General features: G+C 40.5%; 2 pseudogenes, besides 1 other annotated feature; one reads left to right on the top strand and one right to left on the bottom strand.

Annotated features, from left to right (window-relative positions):
* On the bottom strand, positions 8,825 to 11,604 carry FSCN1P1 (fascin actin-bundling protein 1 pseudogene 1; annotated as a pseudogene).
* Positions 14,916 to 15,417: an enhancer, noted in NCBI's record as "OCT4-NANOG hESC enhancer chr15:34782687-34783188 (GRCh37/hg19 assembly coordinates)". NCBI's record gives its function as "activates a minimal SCP1, AML or CMV promoter by ChIP-STARR-seq in naive H9 embryonic stem cells {active_cell/tissue: H9 hESC(naive)}" and the evidence as "EXISTENCE:reporter gene assay evidence [ECO:0000049][PMID:30033119]".
* HNRNPLP2 (heterogeneous nuclear ribonucleoprotein L pseudogene 2) lies at positions 15,402 to 17,244 on the top strand (annotated as a pseudogene).

The following is a 26,644-nucleotide window of genomic DNA, read 5'->3' as shown; positions in this document are numbered from 1 at the left end:
TAGGCAAATGGACTAACACTGTACGGTGTAGCCATACAATGGAATATTAACCAGTTCTATATAAAAAAAGAGCTATCAAGCCACAAAAAGTCATGGAAGAACTTTAAATGCATATTACTGAGTGAAAGAAGCCAATATGAAAGCCTACACACTATGTGGTTGCAAGTATATGACATTTTGAAAAAGGCAAAACTGTGGAGACAGTAAAAAGATCAGTCATTTCCAGGGGTTCCTGGGGAGGAAAGAAAGGAGGAATAACTAGGTAGAGCACAGGGGATTTTTAGGGCAGTGAAACTATAATCCTGTGTAACATTGTCATGGTGGGTACATCTCTGTTAAAATCCATAAAATGGACACCACAAAGAGTGAACCCTAATATAATTATGAACTTTAGATAAAAATAATTTATCAACGTTTTCTCATCACTTGTAACAAATGTAACACACTAATGTTAAAAATACCACAAGATGTTAAAAATAGGAGAAATGGGGGTGGAGTGAGAGAGTCTACAGACAGGCACTTTAACTTTCACTAATTTTTGCCTCTAAACATAAAACAGCTCAAAAAGTAATGTCTATTAATTTATATCTATATATAAAATATATCTGTGGTTACTACAATGTCTTTTTGAAATTAATACACAGTGAGAGATTGTGTCTAAGAACTGACATGGTCTTGAATTTGAATAACAACATTGAAATACAATATTAGTGTATTTAACTATAAATTAAGAAAATAAATTTTTCATATATGAATTGTTTATAACTCTTTATTGAAATAACACCCACATCAATCCTCATCAGTTCTGAGGCCCACATAATAATTAAAGGCCTCCAGCAGGTCCAATTTCATTCATTCCTAGAACCAATGAGTTTCACTCTTGCAGGCCATGAGTAGCAGTTCTTCAATGGACAATGAGATCTAGAAGGAGAAAGATGTGTTCTATTTCTTTGTGACTAGTGTCCTAAGTCATGGAGACAGAATCATGGGCTTGGAAGTAGCATCATCTTCCAGGCTGCGGTGTAACTCGCATTCCCAAGGAACAGACTGTTGGCAAACCCTTTGGTCTCCATCCTTGGGATTTCTTCTTCTCCTCTACATTTTGTTTCTCTTTCTCTTTTTTTCTAAATCATTTTTTCTTTTTCCGACCAATGATGTTTGTCCTTTTGTCCTAGGACTGGATCTCATTTATCTTTCTGGGAATAGCGCCATCTCTAAGGACTCCAGGTTAACCCACTTCATATCTAATCATTCCAGTCTAGATACTAAATATTGCAGTGTCAGTCAACATTCCCAGGGCCAGATCTTACCTCATACCTCAGGTTCATAACTTTCTTGACTATATTGGGTTTTGTCCTACTTTCCTCATTCTTGGCCATGTGTATTTTGTCCTATCCTGGGAACAAGGAGAGGAGTGAAGAGCTTTCTCTTCCATTTCATTATTAACCCTGCTCCCACATTCTTCCCAGAAAGCCAGGAAATACAATGCCAATGTTCTGCATTGAGTTTATATTTCATGTATAATTAACTTTTGTGTTGAACATGAATAAACTGAAAATTTCTTGAAATAGAAACAATTTGATAGAATTTTGTGGGTACAGTGTATACAATCCATGTCGAATACATTACTGACATCTAAACTTGTTATAGATTTTTTGTTCCATCATGTACTAATTCAGTAATTCTATTGCAATAAAACTAACATTTGTTTGTTGGTTATAATTCATTCTTGGTAAGGCTTTTTCTGTGTTTTGCTTATGCTTCCATTATCTCCTAGATGAGCACTTTCGTGTATCTAATTTAGAAGCATTACATTAAGAACAGTAAGAGAAAATCCTTTAATCTATATTTCCGCTTAAAATAAGATTATAATAACATGTGCTCCACCAGATATAGATGTTCACAAAACATAAGCAAGTGTGAATATTTCTTATAACCACTTCTGAAGAAATAGAAGGGCTCCTATTACATGCGCTGTAGCAAATTATAAAGTCATAAACACATACTCTTCAAAGTAGCAATAGGCAAATCAGGGAGAGAGAGACAGAGAGAGAGGGAGCACAGTGTTGCTCCCAGAAGACAATGAATTTATTGCTACCACTGAAGAAATTTTTGGAAAGGCTGAAGCTTTTTGCTAACATGTACAATAACAACTGCAAAAGGAATAGGACCTGCAATCTTCAGTTGAATCAGTCTGTTTATAATCTCATTTAAGATTGGTAGAGACAAACATAGGTCATGGCTTTCTCATCACTCGTTAATTCACTCACTCATTCAAAACACAAATAGATGCACGCTATGCTAGACACTGGGGATACAAATGGTTACAACAATCCCTGAAGTTTCTCAAAGCCAGTGGGAGAAATAGGCATATAAACAACTAATATCATGCACTCTCCTATTGGACACTTGAAGACTGCCTAATGGACTGTGGGACTACAATATAAGATACTGTCAATTTGTCCTAAGAAGGTCACTCATGGGGAAGTGAAGACTGAATTCCATCGCAAAGGAATAGTCAAATTTTCCAGGCCAACAGGGAAAATGCTATTCCAGATGGCAGGAACATTGTGAACAAAGTTAAGGATCAAGGAAAAAATATAAGTATGAAGAGATGACAGTAGAGCCACATTGTTCAGTACGAAGGGTGGAGTATTTGGTGGAGAGAAATGAGAATTAGGAGGGAGAGATGGACAGGGTCAGATCAAAAAAGGTCATGGTCAACCTAAAACTAAGGAGCTTAGAATTCATCATGAGACAAGTAGGAGTCATTCAAAGATGTTATAAGGTGCAACATGATGAGATTTGCATTTCAGAAGCGCAGCGCTGATAGTGGTGCAGAGGCTGGATTACAGGTGGGAATGGAGGAGCTATGGTGGAGGCCAGGGTAGGAGAGAAAGGAGTGTGAGGAGTGGTGGGGTGAGTGGGGTGGGGATGGATTTCCTAAAAAGGTGATAGAGGAAGGGAGATTGGCTTGGGGCATTCAGAGGCAAAAACAGAAGGAAAAAAAATCTAAAAGGAAGGAGCAGTGATAGGCCTGTGTGCCAATTTGAATAATACTGCAATTGTTTATTGAGAGATCATGATGTACAAAACATGCTATTTTAATACTCACTGCAATTAATTTTGGAAATTTTTTCACATTTTATCAATTGATATCCAGAGGAGTTAAATCACTTACTGAAGGCCATGCCAATTTCAAGTTAAGGGATGAGATTAAAACTAAATGCTACTAGATACAGAGCTGGTGTCCTCTCAACTATATTCTTTGGCCCTCTTAACTGGATCAGCAACGGGGGAGAGGGCAGAGACTAGAATAGCTCCTCACAGTTCTCTGGATCTGCTTGGATGCTGACCAGTTTGGAGGAAGAAGATGAATTAAATGGAGGTAGCTGAGGGATATCCAGGTGCAAAAGATAAATAAGCAGTTGGATACATGAGTCTGAAGAAGGTTCCTGGTGACACTGGTTGGTAGATAGACTGAGAGCTGAAATTCACCTGCAGTAATTGTTACTCTGTGTCTTCCTGTTGTATTTATGGGTCAGCTCAATATATCTTTTCCTCTATCTTTTAAAGTTAGAATTTACAATACCTACCTAATAGTTACTTCCTGAAGGGTAAAAATCTTTTGTATTAGTTTTTCTTTGGTCATCTATTTATTAATGCTATCCTCAACAAATATGTATTCATTAACCATTGGGTGCATTGTGCAAATTACACCACACTATTTGATGGAAAGAACGAGGTCTCTTCTTGCTAAATAGTTCTAGTCATCTCCCTTTTATAGTTTCCTTTACTTTGTCTTAAGAGCAAATTATTTTTCTATTCATTATTCATCTTATTACATGTTCTTTTTGCTTCACTTTAATCCTTTCTTGCAGGAGAAAGATTATAAATAAAAACATCTATATATAACTATAAAGCTTACACTCTCATAGCTGGCACAGAGTTTGTGCAAAAGCAAAAAGATGAACACTTTAGCTCTTTTGTAGGTATGATTTTTGAGTTGAGATGGCAGGAAAATTAAGTGGGATTTTGATATAAGAGTAACAAAAGGAAGCCTCTAGGGAGAAAACAGATAATACATTGAGAATAAATAGAAATTATGTCTCACGCTGGCTCTGCCACAGCAATTCCTCTCCCTTCCCCATAATTAATTATTATCTGGTTTAACTGAGAAAATATGAGACAATCTCAAATTTCCTCAGAGCTAGAATACAATGTACCATTTTATTAGCCCTAGAACAACATGAACAGAAGCTTTAGTGGTAGCGTTACTGTCTATGCTGAGGTTTGTTAGCAATGCATTATTACCTAAGAGATGGCTGCTTAGTTCAGACAGTTAACTGGAGGTCACTAAAATGTTCTGCTCTTGAAAGAGAAAGAGGGGGACAAAACATTGGGGAGAGAGAGAGAGAGAGAGAGAGTGAATGTTCCTTCTTCACAGAGCAATTTGTGTAAATGCATGGTCCAATGGCCCTGATATCCATTAATTAAATTTCTAGACTTCATAGCATTCGCTGATGAATCATGATGAAAAAAGTTGGAAGGGAATAGGAAACACATACGCTGCAGCATCCGGTTTCGCCAGAGTTGGGCCCTTGAGAATTATTAAGTGATACTTTGACATAATTCAGAATTAACAAAATCTGCCTGCTCTCTAAAAGTGTGTCTTTTCATAATTTAAGTAAGTCATGCAAATTAGCTTAGATCTAAATGTGAGCTCCATTGTTGCCTGCAAGTCAGCATGACTTCATGATTGGTGATATAATAGTATCATCACCCCAGGGAAGGATATTTCTGTGAAATTAAGTGATATAGTTCTATCTGAGTAGGAATATTGTACCTGAAAAATCCTGCTAATAAATATAGGTCTTATTTTGATATTTTGGAATTTTATAGGGAATTAAATATAATAAAATCATGCATCCGACTGAGGTCAGACATCTGAGAAAAACAGGTCAGTCAAATCCTGATTCCTGTGAAATTTACCAAGGGGCTTTTAAAATGGCCAAACGTTAAAGTACCTAGCACGATGCTTGAAATATAATCTGTGGAAATACACTAAACTAAAATGACCTTGTCCAGTCTCATGGCTTCAAATACCAGCCCCATGCTAATGATCAAATTTTCTATGCATTCAAAACTCCTGAACTCAGATTTAGATATCTAACATCTCTGCTGGTTTCTTCACCTTACTGTTTCCCACAACAAACTTCTTTCTTTTCTTAATCCATTTCCCCCCACCTTTTCCATTATATTCAACCTAATTAAATAGGGATGTTTGGCTCAGGCTATGAAATTTGACTCACATTCCATGTCAAATTCATCACCAAATCCTGTCAACTCTACTTCAAAGATATTTTCAAAATACGACCACCTCTTACCAGTACCACTCTAGTTCAAATCATCCTATCTCTTTCCTAGGTGACTGCAATAACATCTCACTACCTAAATCTACCCTTTGTCCTATAGTCAATTCTTATCTCAGCAGACAGCAGACTATTAAAGCTGTGAACCATATCAGCCTCCATTTCAAGTGTCTTCAGTGGCTTCCATTTCACCTCCAGTAAAATAGAAATCTCCACAATGACATCTAAGACTCTCCATGGTTGGTCCCCTTCTTGCCTTACAACTAAAAACTCTTCTACCATTTCCACTCTATTTACTCTGCTGTAGCAGGGAGACCTATTTGCTGTCCCTTAAACAAAGCAGATGTCTTTCTCCTCTGGTCTTTGCATTTGCTGGTCCTATTACTGGGAGTGTTCTTTTTCCCATCCTCTTGATGACTTCCCTCATCTCCTTCAAGTCCTCGATGGAATGTTCTTACACAGTGAGGACTTCCCTGGCAACCATATTTAAAACAGAATCTTCAGTCCCATGTCCAGCACTCTTTATGCACCGTCCCTGTTTTATAATAGTTTGAGAAAATGAGTAAGTGTTTTGGGGACACAGCACTTACTATCATCTGACATCATGAGGCATAAAACTGTATTTCTTACTTATTTTATGTATTTGTTTGCCTTCCATCATAACTAAGCATTTAGTAGAGATTGTCTATTTTATTCACAATGGTATTCCTAATTCCTTAAAAGTGTTTGGTATAAAACAAACATACTTTGAGCATTTGTTGAATAAAGGAATTATATGTAAAATTATGGTCAGGCATTATTCGAGGGGAAAACTCTTAGTGTCTAAACAAATTTATTTGGATACCTGGTAAATTATACTATAACTAATTTGGGAAATAAATTTGTTCCTCTTATGTCAATTGAGGGAAGCTTTGGCAAGAGCATTCTGCTTCATCTCCAAGTCTTTTTCTTCAAAGCCTATTGTTATTTTTTTCAAATCTGACAACCCTATGAGACCCACCCAGCTGAAGATTAGCTGGGATGCCCAGTTCCTGTTCTCACTGTGGGGCACCAGATTTTCTGGGCAAGCAGTGTGAGTAGATAAAGCAATGAGATGGGGTGAGGTTACAGGCATCAGCCCATTCTAGGCTTTGCTCTTCAACACATACTGTCCTCCTGAGCCAGGACGCAGACCATGGCTACTTTTGCCCCTGCATGTCTGTTCTGATTTCTTTCTTCATATGGGATGTCTCACTATTCTTCTGCTTTGAATATGGAGCTTCAGTCTCTAAGCTAAAAGGCCAAGTACAGATTCACCTGCCAATGAAGCTCTTTAAATTCTCTCTTCTTTCTCAGGACTCATTGGCTGTAAGTCCATGGAGCAAAAACAGAATTTGCTACTTTTCAATGACATTGTTTTAGTTGAGTTGTGTTTAACTAACTTGTTGAATGAACGGACACTGTACATTCTCCCTGTAAAATAACAGTGTGTTTTCTATTATGCCTATGTAAGTCTGTTGCCTCAAATTGACGTTATGTTGTTAACTTATCTACCAGACAGTTTATTTAGGTTGTATTCAAGTTGGTCTTTTGTGACATAAATAAAATCAGGGATGTGATTATAATAGAGTGGTGCTATTTATGTAAAAATATCTGGGTCTTGAAAAGATTAGAAAAAGCTAAGCTGATTACTAGGAGGGCTAAGCAATGTAAATTTTTAAGAAAAAATTATAAAATTAGAATAATCAGAATAGCAAAAATTTAATAAGCTAAAAGGTTTTTGCACTTCAATTACTTTTTTTGTTCTACTTTAAACAAGTAAAAATTTAGAATTATAATTGACTTCTTATGATCCTAATTTATACAAAGAAGACAATGTATAGAAACTCCAGTTAGTAGAGTAATAATCAAAGGGTCCTGGACTTATATCAAAATATTGGCCAAATAATTTACATTTCTGGTTTTTTTTAACCCCATGATCCTCCTCCTTAACTCACTTTTTAGATTAACTATCAAAAAACTGGTCTCAATTATATTTGAATAGAAGTTTTCTACTCTATTGTTCTCTAACTTGACCGTGCTCAGTACCCTTAATTAAAATATATAATTCTTTAGTAAATAGTTTTCATAGATGTTTTCTTTCTAACTGGTTAGATGAAAGCTACCCAATAATGGTCAGGTTGAATAGTCGTGGGGTAGGCTCAGTGTTGGTCTGTGGAACGCTGCTGTAGGTCTCCACAAACCTAAGACACAGAGACGCACCCTTAGAATTATCTACTTAACAGTAGAACTGTGACTGAACCTGAGGCTTGCCTGACTCCATACTTCTTGGTGTTATTCACAGCACCACAGCCTAATTTTGCTTGTTTCTTTATTTGAAGAAATCTTGAAAAAGAATTGCATTCTTTGATTTTTCTAGTTAATTAAAAATTTCATTGGAATCAGCAATATCTTACTGTGATGGCAATTGTATCTCCTAAAAAATCACAGTGGAGATATATTTGGAATAAAAATATCCAAATATTTAAGTAGTACATTCTCAAGTATCTGAGTAGTATATTCTATAAATTTTGTCTGCAGGCTTAGAAATAACCTTAGTATAATGTTAATAAAAATCAAACTAGCTATTCAAAATATACTCGTGGCATTGGCTATTTGGGGGTAATTTTCACCAACCATCAACATCTGTATTCATATATTTATGTGATGGTATTGTTATTTCTGCAGTCTTGGTCAACAAAATTTACTCATGTTTGATATAATTTCCACATACCCATAGCATGTCTTTGGAAGTAATGCAGTGCTTGAAATTTAAGGAAAAAAATATCTGGTTAGGATTCCAAAATGTAAATCATTGAATAAAATAGTGCCATTTACTTTTAAGATGAGGATAGTGTTTTGATGGGAGGACATAGGTGATTTTGTGAACAACAAAATAATCTTGAAGCCACATACATATGGTAAATGTTTACACTTAGGACTATGTGGGAATGGCAGCAGTCATTTCTAATAAATAACGTGTGAAAATCAACAGGTCAGTTCCAAAAACACCTCCTGCTTGTTCATGGCATAAAGCCAAAGCTCCGCTATATGAATATTACATATGCTTTTGACAAAACATCTAGTCTTACACCAGACACAATATTCTAGTTTCCTGAAGAGGTAACTTTATTAAAGCATGTGCTAAGTAAACTATAAGATTCATATTAGAAACTTTAGTCCTATAGCTGTTTCTATTTATTTGGAGTTTAAAAAAATGGCATTATTGTACAGGTACCTGCTTTATAGTTAAAAAAAAAAAAAAAAGGAAGGGGGCAAAATAAATCAATCACACTCTCAAAGCATCAAGGAAATTTATAGTGGAATTATGAATCATATCATTGCGGGGTCATTTTCCTTTATATCATGATATCATATGAGACCAATGTCAAATGGAATAGGTAAAAAATGGACAAAAAGTTTTTTTGGGGGGGGGAGCTGCAGACTGAGTTATTTTATTTCACTATTTCCAGTTTGAAGCTACTATCATGGGCGTTTGGAGTTATACAAATGACACTTACAAAAAATAAAAGACCAGGACACCCAGAGTGAGATGCATGTCGGGGACGGGACGGGGGAGACTGGCAGCAGGGGGGCCCTGGCGGCTCACCCCAGGGCTCCCCGAGGGGGCGACGCCTGGCTTCATCCACCCAGGAGGCCCAGGAAGCACCAATCACAGCGGGGGCTCTGGCCCAGGCATCCGCAGCCCAGGCCCAGGGCTGGGGCTGGACCGGAAGGACGGAAAGAGGGGGCTGAGATGCACCCCCTGGGGAGGGTGCTGAGACGCCCCACCCACATCACTCACTACTACAGCCAGGCTTGCCTGGGACGCCTCCAGCAATAATATTTCATTAAAAAAAAATACCGATTTGGTCATTTTCTGCTTCCGGTCAGGCTAGGGTGAAAGGAAAGAGGAGGAAGACGGCCCCCACACCCCTACCCCCCCGCCACCACCACCCTGGCAGAACATGCAGCGGGCAGACCCTGTGGCCGTCACACCCTGCCGCTCCAGGGAAGGGAGCCAGGCTGAGCCTCTGCCACGTGGGAGAGGGGCTGTTTCCAGCCACCACCCAAAAAAACACCGAGGCTCAGTCCTCGCCCACCTGACGGCTTCCCTTCCCAAGCAGGGGTTTCGGGACAGTGCACCAGGGAGGGCCACTGACAGGCTTGGGACACGTGCCCAGCTCCTGGGGGGCTGGGAGGAGGTGGCTGGGAGGGGCAAGAGATTCCAGTTACACTACACGCCCAGGGCTCCCAGCCCCCAACCGTCCCTTAGCCGCTTCCAGAGAAATAAGGCTCAGAGCCGTCTGAGGTCAGAAGAAAGAGGTGCCAGACTCGCCCCGTGGCAGACAAGAGGGCAGGGGCATCTGAAATCCCTCCCAGGGCCAGGCCGCAGCCGCTGACCCGAGGGGAGTAGGGAACCAGGGCGGAGGGGAGACTGGGAAGTCCATAGGGGCGACAGGTGGGGGCACCGTTTTCTCTGGGGTTTCCAGTTTGAAAGGCAAGGGGGCTTGCCTCCCGCCCGGGGGAGCCCACCTGGAGGAGAAGGGGTTAGCAGGGAGGGTTGGAAGGAGCCGCCACGTGGGCAGGAACCGGGAAGGGCGGGCGGGCCCTAGTACTCCCAGAGCGAGGCGGGGTGCACGGTCTCCGCGGAGGCCCTTAGGACCCCTGCGTGGTCGCCCTTCAGGTAGCGCCCGTCCATCTTGATGGCCTCCTTGTTGTAGTCGCAGAACTCGAAGAAGAAGTCCACAGGAGTGTCGCCGCTGCTGGTGACCGCGGAGTCACTGCCCACCGTCCAGTATTTGCCTGTGGAGTCTTTGATGTTGTAGGTACCATTGTTGAACTCCAGCTGGAAGACGTCATAGCTGCAGCGGTTGGCGTCCAGGGTGCCCCGACCTTGCGGCAGCCGATAAAGCCGTGCTCCCCGCGCAACACGGTGATGGCGCGGTTGATGAACTTCATGAGGAAGAGCTCTGAGTCCCCTGCTGTCTCCACCGAGGCGGCCAGCTGCCCATTCTTCTTAGATGTCACAAACTTGCCATTGGACGCCCGCAGTGTGATGCGCCGGTCACGCCGCTCAATGTCGAAGTAGCAGCTGGCATTCTTGGTGGAGGCGGTGGACTGCACGCCCCCAGTGGCCGTCAGCGTCCAGTACTTGCCCCTGTGGGTACAGAAGGCACACTTGTTGTTGTCGCGGTCGATCTCCAGCTGGAAGGTCTCCTGGTCGGTCTCCTCGTCCGGATTGGCAGACAGGTCCATACCCTGGCGCGTGGACACATTCCTCCCGTTGGCCGCCTGCAGCACGACCTGGGCGCAGCTCTGCTCCAGGGCAAAGAGCTCGTCCTTGCCCACCTTGGTGGCCTTGCCCGCCTTGAGCGTGCCGCTGGGCCCCGACGGCGCCAGGTAACGGCCCTCGCAGTCGCGGAAGGCCACATTGCCGGAGCGGAACTGCAGCGTGTAGCCAGTGGCCGGCTCGGGGCGCGCCACCAGGCGCCTGTCATGGCGCAGGAAGCGGTGGTCCGCGGTCTGCACGCTGTAGCGCTGCTCCTGGAAGGCGAGGGTGACGAGCGAGTCGACGCCCCAGGGCACGTCGCGGTCCACTGCGATCTCGTCGGCCGGCGGCGCGCTCAGGTGCGCCTAGCGCTTAGGGGTGACGCGGTAGATGTTGACCTGAGGGTGCATGGCGATGTGCACGCTCCACTTCTCGGCGGGGGACACCGTCTGCGCGAAGCACGACAGGCGGTCCTCCGTGCCGCCGAAGGAGCGCCGGTGCGCCTCGGACTGCAGCGACCAGCGGCCGTCGTCGTGCGCCACGGTGAGGAAGCGGCAGTCGGGACCGGGCACCTCGCGCTCGCAGGTCACATTGCCGTCCTTGTCCGCCGCCAGGTAGCGGCCCAGGTGGCTGCGCAGGCACACGGCCGCGCTGCCCGCCTAGTCAGGGGGCTGCTCCAGCGTCCAGATCTGCTGCTTCTTCAGGCTGCTGGCCGACGCGTTAACCTTGAACCCGAACGCCTCCGCCCTCAGGTACTTGTTGCCGCAGTTGATGAGGCCGAACCGGATCTGCACCGCCTCGGCTGTGCCGTTGGCGGTCATGGTGGCGGTGGACGGGAGGCCGCGGCGCGGCCCCGGGAGGTGGGTGGCGGGTCCCCGCGGCGGCGCCCCTGCTCCTTTGTTCGGCGGCCGGGGCGCGCACGCACCTCCCGCAGCGCTCCACCAAAACGTTTTAAAATCATTTCAGTTAACAGATTTAAACAGAGTTTAGCTATGAAGCAATGAGTAATGGAATACAAACTAGTGAAAAAGATGAACAACTAGGGATTAAATGTTGAGGAAAATTCTTTTCTAATGAATTAATTTTGAATCGATAAGAGACAAAGAATAGGGACTTTTAAATATACAACTTTGGTGACAAAGTATTTGTCTATACAAGTTTCTTATGTCTAGTGCCTTCCTTACCTCCCCAATATTATTTTATAACTCTCTGATAATTTCTAAAAGATACATATGAGATATTCATATCTAAAAAAGTCACCAATATTTTGAACTAGTATCAAAAATAAAGAAGTATTTGACATAGGTTTATTTACTGGTTTTTACATAAATAAAATACAAATATAAATCACAACAGCAAAGATAATAATTAAAAACTGCATACTCACCTTAGGGTTTTTAAATAAGCTAATTGTTTTTCTTCTACACAAATAGCTAAAAATGTACAGTGAATACAAATGTACTTAATTTCTCCTTCTTTTTCTATATTTTGATTGGCTAGTGAACTGTCAAAAAGTGATGATGCTGAATTTTTGCTATTTTCTCTCTAAAGTGATGTTCTGAAAGAAATATATATATAATTTGCGGTTGTGAAGAAGCCCTTTTTTTAGTGCTAATTTATTTCCTTTGCGTACTTTGCAGTGGACATACATGTTAAAAATTTAACAGAAAGAAGAGGATAAAATAATCATGACATGAAGCCCTTTTAGAAATTAGCAATGTTCTCTATTAATAATGGTGTGATGATATGCCACTCCATGAGCTCTTGAACCAAGTTATTCATTATTTCTCTGCCACATGGAAGCAGGATATTTGGTCTTTGTCCTATCTCAATGCGATGCCTATGGTTTTGTTACAGAAACCTTAATTTTGCCTGCTTTTAAGTAAAGCAGTTTTTATGCAGACTTCTCAGAGGGCAGCCAGATAACTTTCAAGCACATTTGAAACACCAGAGGTGACTCTGCCAAGTGCCCCAGAGAAAAATTCAAACTATGATAAAGACACTTCTTCAACCCATCTTTCTAAAGTTGCTGACTCTACAGGTTTATTATAAGCATTAGACGAAACCAGTGAGAGGCATGTGTCAAAGCTTGAATGTGCAGCTCCAGGTTAGAATGTCAGCTTTTCCTTTGGGTTACTGAAGAAGGAGAAAAGCCATTATCCATGCATGAAACAATAAGATATATGGCCAATGAAATGGAAGGCATACATTTGGTAATCCAATCCCAATATTTGCCATTTGCTTTAGTGGGGCTAAAATAGGTCACTTAAGTGGTTTATGCTCCACCTTCTAGAAGTGAGCAGAAAAATATTTTAAATTAATGGTTATTTTACCATCAGCATTTTTTTAAAATTGAAAATGGAACACCGGTTTTATAACTAGTTTCTTCATTTTATTATTTAATGAGGTGGCTAGCCTTGATTTGAAAGGTTTTTTCTAACATGACTAGCTTTCTGACACTCTAATGCCCATTTTCTAAGACTTCTGTGCTGTAAGCTATTTTAACAAAGGGTAAGTGGTATGTCTTTAAATTCTGATTTTAGAGGAATTCCTAAGTTCTCACTACTTTCACATATTATTTTATCTACTGTGGAATGATAACTTTGTTAACATGAAGCTTTTCAAGCTGTCACTGTATTCCATCGGGTATTTCGGTTGGTTCATCAAAGTGAAATGAAATGAAAATGCAGGAAAAACAAATGAATAGAACACAATTAAGAGTAATTCATTTTGGCCAGGTCCGGTGGCTCATGCCTGTACTACCAGCAGTTTGGGAGCTCAGGAGTTAGAGACCAGCCTGGCCAACCTGGTGAAACCCCGTCTCTACTAAAAATACAAAATGTAGCCAGGCGTCATGGTGCACGCCTTCTGGTACTGGAAGGCTGAGGCAGGAGAATCACTTGAACCTGGGAGGTGGAGGTTGCAGTGAGCCGAGATCATGCCACTGCACTCCAGCCTGGGCGACAGAGCGAGATTCCCTCTCAGAAAAAAAAGACTAATTCATTGAAACACCAGTTTGTAAAGCATCAGGGATGCTTTTCTCTTGTTAACTACAACATTGTTGTTGAAAACTCTGCTAAAATTTCACATTCTTTTTTTAAAAAGGTAAATGAATTTTAATAACGTATTATGCATAAAAATTATTTAAAGTTGACATTAATATAAAACTTATTGAGCTACTTTAAAGTTTTTTTCACTTCCTTTTTAAACTTTTATTTTAGGTTCGGGGGTACAAGTGCAGGTTTGTTACATAGGTAAACTTTTGTCATGGGGGTTTGTGGTACAGATTATTTCATCATCCACGTATTGAGCCTAGCACCCATTAGTTATTTTCCCTGATGATCTCCCATCTCTCTGCCTCCTCTCTCTGAAAGTCCCCAGTGTGTGTCGTTCCCCTCTGTGTGTCCATGTGAGTTCTCATCATTTAGCTCCCACTTACAAGTGAGAACATGTGGTGTTTTTCTCTTCCTATATTAGTTTGCTAAGGATAATAGCCTCCAGCTCCATCCATGTCCCTGCAAAAGACATGGTCTCTGTTCTTTTTTATGGCTGCATAGTATTCCATGGCATATATGTACCACATTTTCTTGATCCAGTGTGTCACTGATTGCCATTTTGGTTGGTTCCATGTCTTTGCTATTGTGAATTGTGCTGCAGTGTACATATGCATGCATGTGTCTTTATAACAGAATGATTTATATTCCTTTAAGTATATACCCAGTAATGGGATTGCAGGGTCCAATGCTATTTCTGTCTTTAGGCTTTTGAGGAATTGCCACACTGTCTTCCACAATGGATGAACTAACTTACACTCCCACTAACAGTGTATAAGCATTCCTTTTTCTTCACAACTTCACCAGCATCTGTTATTTTTTGACTTTTTAGTAATAGCCATTCTGGTTGGTGTAAGATGGTATCTCATTGTAGTCTTGATTTGTATTTCTCTAATTATCATGAACAGACAGTTTTGAAATTTTTACAATCTTATGAAGACAAATGAATACAGAATTTTCTGAGCTGGGGTACAAATGGCTTTTCTGGGGCAAGATTATAGAGATTAACAAAATGAGATGGGGAGAAATTGAGCTACATTATTGTCAAATTTAGCTTGCTGGGAGTAAAAAACAAAAAACCAACAAAACTGAAGTCTTGCACTTATTAGTAACTATTTCTGGCTTCCTTCCCTCTGCTAAACATGGATTGTCAGATTTCTCTCTGTGAGTTGTCCTCATCCACTACTAGAGTCAGTCAATGGCCCTACACTGTATTCCCTGGCAATGATTTTGCAAGGAGTTTCGTTCAGGTTCTTAACACTTTAAGATAATGTCAACATTCTTCCTTAACTTCTCTCTGCTTCCAATGTCTTCCATTTCTAATCCGCCCTGCACACAGAACATTTTATTTATCCTTCTTAAATACAGAAACTACTCTCAATTGTCTACAGGATAAAGCACCAACCTTTTAAACTTTACCAAACTAACTTGGAAAAGTAATTTCCTGGGAGAAGCGGCGTCGGCGGCTGGAGCAGAGGCAGCAGCGGGAGGAGCAGCAGAGGCGGTCGGGAGCGATGAAGATGGCGGCGGGGGGCGGCAGAGGCGGCGGTGGCGGCTACTAAGGCGGCGGCAGTGAGGGCGGCGGTGCCCCTAAGCGGCTCAAGACTGGCAACGCCGGCGACCAGCACGGAGGCGGCGGCGGCGGCGGTGGCGGTGGAGGAGGCGGGGCGGCGGGGGCGGCGGCGGGGAGAACTACCATGACCTGCACAAAACCCCTGCCTCCCCAGTTGTCCACAGCAGGGGCCTGATTGACGATGTGGTGGAAGCTGACCTTGTGGAGGCCTTGCAGGAGTTTGGACCCATCAGCTATGCGGTGGTAATGCCTAAAAAGAGACAAGCACTGGTGGAGTTTGAAGATGTGTTGGGGGCTTGCAACGCCGTGAGCTACGCAGCCGACAACCAAATATACATTGCCGGTCACCCAGCTTTTGTCAACTACTCTACCAGCCAGAAGATCTCCCTCCCCGGGGACTCGGATGACTCCCGGAGCGTGAACAGTGTGCTTCTCTTTACCATCCTGAACCCCATTTATTCGATCACCACGGATGTTCTTTACACTATCTGTAATCCTTGTGGCCCTGTCCAGAGAATTATCATTTTCAGGAAGAATGGAGTTCAGGCGATGGTGGAATTTGACTCTGTTCAAAGTGCCCAGCGGGCCAAGGCCTCTCTCAATGGGGCTGGTATCTATTCTGGCTGTTGCACTCTGAAGATGGAATACGCAAAGCCTACACGCTTGAATGTGTTCAAGAATGATCAGGATACTTGGGACTACACAAACCCCAATCTCAGTGGACAAGGTGACCCTGGCAGCAACCCCAACAAACGCCAGAGGCAGCCCCCTCTCCTGGGAGATCACCCCGCAGAATATGGAGGGCCCCACGGTGGGTACCACAGCCATTACCATGATGAGGGCCACGGGCCCCCCCGACCTCACTACGAAGGGAGAAGGATGGGTCCACCAGTCGGGGGTCACTGTCGGGGCCCAAGTCGCTACGGCCCCCCAGTATGGGCACCCCCCACCCCCTCCCCCACCACCCGAGTATGGCCCTCACGCCGACAGCCCTGTGCTCGTGGTCTAAGGCTTGCATCAATCTAAGATGAACTGTGACCTAGTCTTCAATGTCTTCTGCTTGTATGGCAATGTGGAGAAGGTGAAATTCCTGAAAAGCAAGCCGGGGGCGCCATGGTGGAGATGGCTGATGGCTACGCTGTGGACCGGGTCATTACCCACCTCAACAACAACTTCATGTTTGGGCAGAAGCTGAATGTCTGTGTCTCCAAGCAGCCAGCCATCATGCCCGGTCAGTCATACGGGTTGGAAGATGGGTCTTGCAGTTACAAAGACTTCAGTGAATCCCGGAACAATCGGTTCTCCACCCCAGAGCAGGCAGCCAAGAACCGCATCCAGCACCCCAGCAACGTGCTGCACTTCTTCAACGCCCCGCTGGAGGCGACCGAGGAGAACTTCTTTGAGATCTATGATGAGCTGGGAGTGAAGCGGCCATCTTCTGTGAAAGTATTCTCAGGCGAAAGCGAGCGCAGCTCCTCTGGACTGCTGGAATGGGAATCCAAGAGCGATGCCCTGGAGACTCCGGGCTTCCTGAACCATTACCTGATGAAAAACCCAATGGTCCATACCCTTACACTCTGAAGTTGTGTTTCTCCACCGCTCAGCACGCCTTCTAATTAGGTGCCTAGGAAGAGTCCCATCTGAGCAGGAAGGTATTTCTCTTTCCTTTATGCCATTTTTTGGTTTTTGTTTTTGTTATTTGCAAAAGATCTTGTATTCCTTTTTTTTTTTTTTTTTTTTTTAATGCTAGGTTCGTAGAGGCTTAACCTTAACGGAAACGCTGGAAGTCTGCAGGGGGAGGGAGAGGGGAACTGATATCTCCCAAGATTAACCTTCACTTTAAAAAAATTATTGTACATGTGATTTTTTTTTCCTGTTCATACATTTGTGCTGCCCATCTACTCCTGGGACATTTCAATAAAATTGTTTGGAAAATAAACACAGCACTTGCTGGGAAAAAAAGAAAAGAAAAGAAAAACAATTTCCAATATTTGTTGTCTCAAAGATACTAGAATATACTGATTTATAGCTACTTATTTTTTCCAAACAAATTAGTCCACTATGAATAACCTCCACAGTCTCTTTTTGTTGTTGTTGTTATCTATCTGAATTCTGCCCATTTAAGGTAAACTGATGTCTATAATTACTCCTGCTCAAGAACTTCTAGAGCCTTCTAACATCTGGTAACCAATTCCGTCTTTAAAGTACCTACTACCATGATTTCAGTTTTCTTGACTGTATCCTAACAGAAAAAAATAGTACAAAGGGGTCACAAATGCAGAAGAAAAGCTGGAAAGATAGAATGATTAATATTCACAAATTTTAGAGTAATAGATGGATAGTTTTATTGTAATTGGAAGTGTGGAGGATTTCTGTGAATTGGTATACTTTTTTTTTATACTTTAAGTTCTAGGGTACATGTGCACAACGTGCAGGTTTGTTACATATGTATACATGTGCCATGTTGGTGTGCTGCACCCGTTAACTTGTCATTTGCATTAGGTATGTCTCCTAATGCTATCCCTCCCCCCTCCCCCGACCCCACAACAGGCCCCGGTGTGTGATGTTCCCCTTCCTGTGTCCATGTGTTCTCATTGTTCAATTCCCACCTATGAGTGAGAACATGCAGTGTTTGGTTTTTTGTCCTTGCGATAGTTTGCTGAGAATGATGGTTTCCAGCTTCATCCATGTCCCTATAAAGGACATGAACTCATCCTTTTTTATGGCTGCATAGTATTCCATGGTGTATATGTGCCACATTTTCTTCTTTTTTTTTTTTACCTAATTTCACAATTTATTATAAAACGACCATAAAAGCCTGATGGGATTTTGATTTGTATTGTGTATATATCAATTTCAGGAGAAATGATACCTTACAATCCAGCAATATGTTCTATACCTGCATTTATCTATATCTTTTTTTATATATATATATTTTTTATTATACTTTAAGTTCCAGGGTACCTGTGCACAACATGCAGGTTTGTTACATATGTATACATGTGCCATGTTGGTGTGCTGCACCCATTAACTCATCATTTACATTAGGTATATCTCCTAATGCTATCCCTCCCCCCTCCCCCCACCCCACAACAGGTGCCGGTGTGTGATGTTCCCCTTCCTGTGTCCAAGTGTTCTCATTGTTCCATTCCCACCTATGAGTGAGAACATGTGGTGTTTGGTTTTTGTCCTTGAGAAAGTTTGCGAAGAATGATGGTTTCCAGCTTCATCCATGTCCCTACAAAGGACATGAACTCATCATTTTTTATGGCTGCATAGTATTCCATGATGTATATGTGCCACATTTTCTTAATCCAGTCTATCATTGATGGATATTTGCGTGGTTTCAAGTCTTTACTATTGTGAATAGTGCCACAATAAACATATGTGTGCATGTGTCTTTATAGCAGCATGATTTATAATCCTTTGCATATATACCCAGTAATGGGATGGCTGGGTCGAATGGTATTTCTAGTTCTAGATCCTTGAGGAATAGCCACACTGTCTTCCACAATGGTTGAACTAGTTTACACTCCCACCAACAGTGTAAAAGTGTCCCTATTTCTCCACATCCTCTCCAGCGCCTGTTGTTTCCTGACTTTTTAATGATCACCATTCTAACTGGTGTGAGATGGTATCTCATTGTGGTTCTGATTTGCATTTCTCTGATGGCCAGTGATGATGAGCATTTTTTCATGTGTCTGTTGGCTGCATAAATGTTTTCTTTTGAGAAGTGTCTGTTCATATCCTCCACCCACTTTTTGATGGGGTTGTTTGTTTTTTTCTTGTAAGTTTGTTTGAGTTCTTTCTAAATTCTGGATATTAGCCCTTGTCAGATGAGTAGATTGCAAAAATTTTCTTCCATTCTGTAGGTTGCCTGTTCACTCTGTAGGTTGCCTGTTCACTCTGATGGTAGTTTCTTTTGCTGTGCAGAAGCTCTTTAGTTTAATTAGACCCCATTTGTCAATTTTGGCTTTTGTTGCCATTGCTTTTGGTGTTTTAGTCATGAAGTCCTTGCCCATGCCTATGTCCTGAATGGTATTGCCTAGGTTTTCTTCTAGGGTTTTTATGGTTTTAGGTCTAACATTTAAGTCTTTAATCGATCTTGAATTAATTTTTGTATAAGGTGTAAGGAAGGGATCCAGTTTCAGCTTTGTACATATGGCTAGCCAGTTTTCCCAGCACCATTTATTAAATAGGGAATCCTTTCTCCATTTCTTGTTTTTGTCAGGTTTGTCAAAGATCAGATGGTTGTAGATGTGTGGTATTATTTCTGAGGGCTCTGTTCTGTTCCATTGGTCTATATCTCTGTTTCGGTACCAGTAGCATGCTGTTTTGGTTACTGTAGCCTTGTAGTATAGTTTAAAGTCAGGTAGCGTGATGCCTCCAGCTTTGTTCTTTTTGCTTAGGATTGTCTTGGCAATGTGGGCTCTTTTTTGGTTCCGTATGAACTTTAAAGTAGTTTTTTCCAATTCTGTGAAGAAAGTCATTGGTAGCTTGATGGGGATGGCATTGAATCTATAAATTACCTTGGGCAATATGGCCATTTTCACAATATTGATTCTTCCTATCCATGAGCATGGAGTGCTCTTCCATTTGTTTGTGTCCTCTTTTATTTCATTGAGCAGTGGTTTGTAGTTCTCCTTGAAGAGGTCCTTCACATCCCTTGTAAGTTGGATTCCTAGGTATTTTATTCTCTTTGAAGCAATTGTGAATGGGAGTCCACTCATGATTTGGCTCTCTGTTTGTCTGTTATTGGTGGATAAGAATGCTTGTGATTTCTGCACATCGATTTTGTATCCTGAGACTTTGCTGAAGTTGCTTATCAACTTAAGGAGATTTTGGACTGAGATGATGGGGTTTTCTAGATATACAATCATGTCATCTGCAAACAGGGACAATTTGACTTCCTCTTTTCCTAGTTGAATACCCTTTATTTCCTTCTCCTGCCTGATTGCCCTGGCCAGAACTTCCAACACTATGTTGAATAGGAGTGGTGAGAGAGGGCATCCCTGTCTTGTGCCAGTTTTCAAAGGGAATGCTTCCAGTTTTTGCTCATTCAGCATAATGTTGGCTGTGGGTTTGTCATAAATAGCTCTTATTATTTTGAGATACGTCCCATCAATACCTAATTTATGGAGGGTTTTTAGCATGAAGGGCTGTTGAATTTTGTCAAAGGCCTTTTCTGCATCTATTGAGATAATCATGTGGTTTTTGTCTTTGGTTCTGTTTCTATGCTGGATTACATTTATTGATTTGCGTGTGTTGAACCAGCCTTGCATCCCAGGGATGAAGCCCACTCGATCATGGTGGATAAGCTTTTTGATGTGCTGCTGGATTTGGTTTGCCAGTATTTTATTGAGGATTTTTGCATCAATGTTCATCAAGGATATTGGTCTAAAATTCTCTTTTTTTGTTGTGTCTCTGCCAGGCTTTGGTATCAGGATGATGCTGGCCTTATAAAATGATTTCGGGAGGATTCCCTCTTTTTCTATTGATTGGAATAGTTTCAGAAGGAATAGTACCAGCTCCTCCTTGTACCTCTGGTAGAATTCGACTGTGAATCCTTCTGGTCCTGGACTTTTTTTGGTTGGTAGGCTGTTAACTATTGCCTCAATTTTAGAGCCTGTTATTGATCTGTTGAGGGATTCAACTTCTTCTTGGTTTAGTCTTGGGAGGGTGTATGTGTCCAGGAATTTATCGATTTCTTCTAGATTTTCTACTTTATTTGCGTAGAGGTGTTTATAATATTCTCTGATGGTAGTTTGTATTTCTGTGGGATTGGTGGTGATATCCCCTTTATCATTTTTTATTGTGTCTATTTGATTCTTCTCTCTTTTCTTCTCTATTAGTATACTTTTAAAGCATTATTTCAGTGAATCCATGGCTGAGCACCTACTCTAATCTAGGTGCTGCCATCAGCCATAACAAGAAGAATAAACCATGGATTACAAGGCCTCCCCCTTCAAGGTTGGTCTTGTTTATTTCTGAATGTCTTTACAGAGAACTCAGTTCTGATTTTGCAGGGTTTTATGTTACATGCTTAGGACAGAAAATAGGGACTAGGGAAGCTCTGAGATTTCTAGCATGTCTGTTGAATAAATAATACTATTTTTTCAACTTTCTTACTACTTTCATCTTAGGATCTACAGCACTCTGAAATACTAGTCAAACCTCAGAATACCCCTGTGCTATGCTTATGGGTGATCTTTTTCTGAGATTTACTAAGGGGAAAATTTGATGGATCGTAGATCGCCAGGCAAGTTCCCCGGAAGATGCAGATCAGGCCAAGGAGCAGCCTTTTTGCTGCAACAGGTAGTCACGTTACTGCTTCAGGACTGCAAGATGGAATAAATGAAAATGTGTTCATGTATGTGGCCTTAAAAATGTCACACAGAATTTGAAAAGCGAGAGCTTATCCTTAGAAAAAGGCTAAAAGCTGGTAGACACGAGATAGGACTGGACACTTGGAGAACAGGCTGATATCTTCTTAAATGCTGGGCAGACCTTAAAAAAAAATTCTATGGTCTGTTTTTGCTAACTAGACCCTAAATACTCTTCTTCGTAACATCCCCACATGGAAATAACCATCAGTCTCAGATGGAAAGAATGAGAAATCATCTAAATAGAGATGCAGAAAAGATTTAGCAGGATGAAAAGAACTGAACAGCACGGAGAGATGGGTGATATATAGTTCTGGAATTATACATTGAAAACATAAGCTGGTGAGACATTTAGAGAAAGCACTTTTGCACGCATTTGTCTTCAGCCCTCTGCCAAGGAAGTCCTCTAGCCCATGAAGAAAAGCAATGTTTCAGGACAACCACGGGTTCTTTGAATCATCTCCTGTGTTCCTGTGGGACTTCCCTACCCTTTGGATCCCTCACATTGCTCACTGCTCTGTGTCTCAAGCCTCATCTCCTTGACATCCATATGGATTAGCTTTCTGGCTCCCAATGTAGCTCCATTTCCTTGATTCTGACAACTTTACACATAGGTATGCTGCCATTTACATTCCACATGGCTCCTCACACATGTGTACAACATCCATTTAATTCATTTCGTTATAATGCTGAAATTCAGTGAGTTCCAACCATATGCTAAGGACTGTGCTAGGTGCTGGAAATTGGTAGTGAGCAACACACTGATTTTTAGAAGCGTGTATGTTGAGGAGAGGGACTAAAATATTAAAAATTATTTAAACAAAAATTATTGATATAAATGTCATGTAGAAAAACGTAGAATATGTGATGGCAAATAACAAAGCTCCTTGTCTAGGGCTTCAGGTACATTGTCCCAGAGGTGTCACCTCTAGACTAAAGCCTATGGCTATTGAATATGAGGGGACATGGGGTGGAATAGAGTGGCGAGGACTCCTGGGTACGTGCCTTGTGTGAAATTCTGAGTTAGGAAGGATCTGTTCTCTCTGAGGAATGAGGGTAGGCTAATGCCACTGGAGCAGATTAAGCATGAGGTAGGAAGGCTTCGTCTTGCTTTCCAAGAGGACAAATGCCTGGATAGCAGAAAGGAAAATGAAGGAAAGGAAATGCATTCAACTGCTGATTGGGACCTGGGGACAATTAGGTTGAGGGTGCGAGGAAAGTGAGATGGCCAGCATGGCTCCATGTTTCTAGATGAAGAAAGGCCATCTGGGCAGCATCTGCCTGATGTTGGCCAAGCCTATGATATGCAGCAAACAGGTGCCCAGTTTCATCTGTCAAGAATAATATAAATGTAGCAACACTGTTCCCCTTATCACATATTTGTGAAAGTAAGAGTGTGTGTGTGTGTGTGTGTGTGTGTAAGGTGTGGAAGTCAAGAAAAGGCTGCTATCATGCTCTCTGGGTAGTTTTTGAGAGGTGAGGAAAGACCCAGGAAATAAAATGTAAATGAGATGCATAATCATGGTGAAATTTAAAAATAGAGTAAGAAGTAACCATGAATTAGATCCTTAAGGGAGAATGTTCTGGAAGAACATGGAGAGGATAAACAGCTTAGTTGAGTTCTTGATTACATACAGAAGTGAAACCCTTGCATATATACAAAATTGTATTAATATAAGAAGTCTTTGGTATGATTAAAGTCAAGACATTAAACTTCCTGAGCATATATGGAGTCATTATTTGAAATTTTTGTACATTCAAATTATAGTTTTATTAATTTTCTGGATACAGTTTTATTGAAATGAAGACAAACTTAAAATGTGGGAATATTGCCTGGAAAGTAGAATCAAATATGCAATAAATTTCTAGAAATTAACAAATGTTTTCATTTACACTATAAGCAATTATTGATGTATAACCATGAATCTTTTCAGTTGTTTTCTGATCTTATAAACACTTCAAATAATATTTATTTTTAAACTTTTTAATTGATTCAAAATTAATCTCAATAATTATAACAATTTTTGGATAAGGTTTATGTAATCATTGCTATTATCAAAAATGTAAAAAATCCAACTCTATAAGGTTAAACCTTCACGGAAGACCACAAACTTATTCAAGCATATTTTTCCTTTGTCAAAAATATTCATCCCTTAATCTCAAACAAAAGATTATAGAGCTAAGTAGTACTTTTCTATGAAAAGAAAAATAACAATGATAACAATGAAAATAAAAATCAGGACTTAAGCTAAGAAAGAATGGAAAACCTTAAGGAATATAATAGTGACAGGCAGTTTTAGCATTAATTATGTAATCTCTTATTTAAAGTTAAACATAGCTATGAAAAAACTGAAACATTTTCTCGCTGAATGTGATATGCCAGCTGAATAGTGAGAAGGTTTGGCTTCTGAATAGCTTAAACTTAGCCTGGAAATGCAGATTGTCGGTATTTTCTCTGCCCTCCAAAATTGTGATAATGAAATCTTTCAGTCTTCCCATTTCCGTTATACATAAATATGATAAAACAAGAACATGAAAATATGTTTTCAGTGCCTTGGGATGATGCATTTGAACACAGAGTCTTCATACAATCATCATATTGTCAGAACTTCTACAATGACAGTAGTCAATACTGAGAGCAAAAGGAATCCCAAAATTCTTCCATAACGAAATGTCTTATTAGCAAAGATTTATCTAACAGTTTCAAAGTATTTTATAGTCTAAAAATCACATACATTCACACATATGTATTATTTGAATAAACGCCTAAGAAAATGAAACCAAAGTTTAAAGAAAACACATTTTTCAATTTTAAAGCAAAGATCATTTATTGCTCTAACTAAACTGTTAAATGCCTCTTAAGTGTGTCTATGATTCACAGGCAAAGCAGACATTATTCCTGACGGATTTTATTTCTTGGCAATTTTTGCTCACTTGAAATCCCTAGAAAATACACCCACCAGGTTAACAACAATTTTAGAATAACTTATGAATTGGCTTTTAGGTAAAGTTTCTGAATATTCATTGTTGAGCTACATCCTGTTCCACACATAAATTATGATATAAATTGTTCTAAATGTAATATATATTATTGTTACATGTGATCAAGTGTCACACATGTCCCCAAATACCTGCTCACCTCATCCGCATGGCTGAATGGCAGAAGTTTTAGAGCAACTACCCCAAAGCAGCAATGTCAGCCATCTTCTCCAATCTTCCCTACACTTCTCGCAGCTCTCTCATAGATGACAATATGCCCTTCGCCAAGATCCATCCTTTCTTAATTATATGGAAAACCTCAATTTCATAACCCATGAACAGAAAGGGGGAAAATCTCTCATTCTTTTACTCTCTACAGTGCCAAATATACTGTTTGATTTTTCACTTTCTGCCTCTCTGACCCTGTTTTCCTGTGTATTTTTCTTTCTCTTCTCTCTTTTTTAGTGATCGGGTAATTACCTCTGGTCCATACTGTGGCCTCTTTTCCACAGTTTTATTTTCAAAGTGCTCTCTGCATTATCAATTCCTCTCCCTCTCTAGATTACACCAATTCTGTATTTTGTAGTAGCTTCATTTTGGAAACACCAACAGTGGCATTTTTATGAACACAGTACATTTTCGTGCACACACACACACACACACACATACGTACACACCTCTGTTAAAGACCTTGAAACCCAGAAAATTCTAAAAAAGTAGATCAGAGATGTACTTTCTTTCAACAAATTCAAATTTGGCCAAAAATATCTTTTTGTGAATACTTTGTAAATGTATATCCTCATCTATTGAAAATCATGCATAATGTTTCCAATTGTGTTGAAATGCTTCAGTATAGGGTAGCATTTTTTCCCGTTTTCACTTAAGAACTGAATAGAACCCAATGCTGAGAAGGAGTAACAAATGAGATCCCTTCCAGAAGCAACTATGAGGGGAATATAAAGTCCACAATATAGCTCCTTTTTGAAATATGATTAACCATTGAATTACGCTAATCTCTTTGTAAAACCCTGCATTATGGTAGCATGTGCAGTATTGGAAATAGAGTTTTTAGTCCAAATGTCAAATGATAAATTATAAATGCTGAACACTAATGTTCTCCCTCCAAATTGCATTAAAAGTGCTCTGCAGCATAGGAAATGGAAATTTTAATTCACTAGTCTACTTATAACTTCAAGTTAATCTTCTTATAAAATTGTCTGTCTTGGATGGGGACTATCACACACCAGGGCCTGTCGTGGGGTTGGTGGGGAGGGGAGAGGGATAGCATTAGGAGATATACCTAATGTAGATGGCGAGTTAATGAGTGCAGCACACCAACATGGCACATGTATACATATGTCACAAACCTGCACGTTGTGCACATGTACCCTAGAACTTAAAGTATAATAAAAAAATTAAAAATATATTATTTACAATATCATAAAAATAAAATACCTACAAATAGAAAAAAAATTATCTGTCTTACAAAGTATATTTACACATCAGTTTACTAAACTGCAATTAGAACATTTGTAAGAATTGATATATGTATAAAAATATTGATTATGTATAATTAGCATTTTTATTATTGATAGCATTTTTTAAATTAGAAGAAAAAACAAGGTTTATTATATCATGAAAAGCCAGCAGAAACATGCAATTGCGATATTATATCCTTAAATATTCACGGATGTCTTGTTTCCATTTTATTTACCCCAGTTTCTTAACGTAGTAATCTTGAATTCAGCAAATATTTATATATGGTGGCTATGTATCATTTACAATACATAGTAAAAATCACTGATAACTTGAATGAAGTATTGCAGGAAGTATCCTAAAGAACACTAGGAAAAAAAATCTATCGTTAATATATTGAACATTACAAAAGAAAATCCATCCCTGTTATGCTAAAATAATGAAATTTGTTCTTTGTAATTTCCTAGAAGTAGATGGATAAAGTAATTTACAAGTTTTTGGGTAGTATGTTATTTAAC

The sequence above is a fragment of the Homo sapiens genome, chromosome 15 (assembly GCF_000001405.40).
Source record: "Homo sapiens chromosome 15, GRCh38.p14 Primary Assembly".
In the NCBI taxonomy this organism is placed as follows: Eukaryota; Metazoa; Chordata; class Mammalia; order Primates; family Hominidae; genus Homo; species Homo sapiens.
The sequence above is the reverse complement of the archived record's forward strand: the minus strand, read 5'-3'. Positions and strand labels throughout refer to the sequence as shown.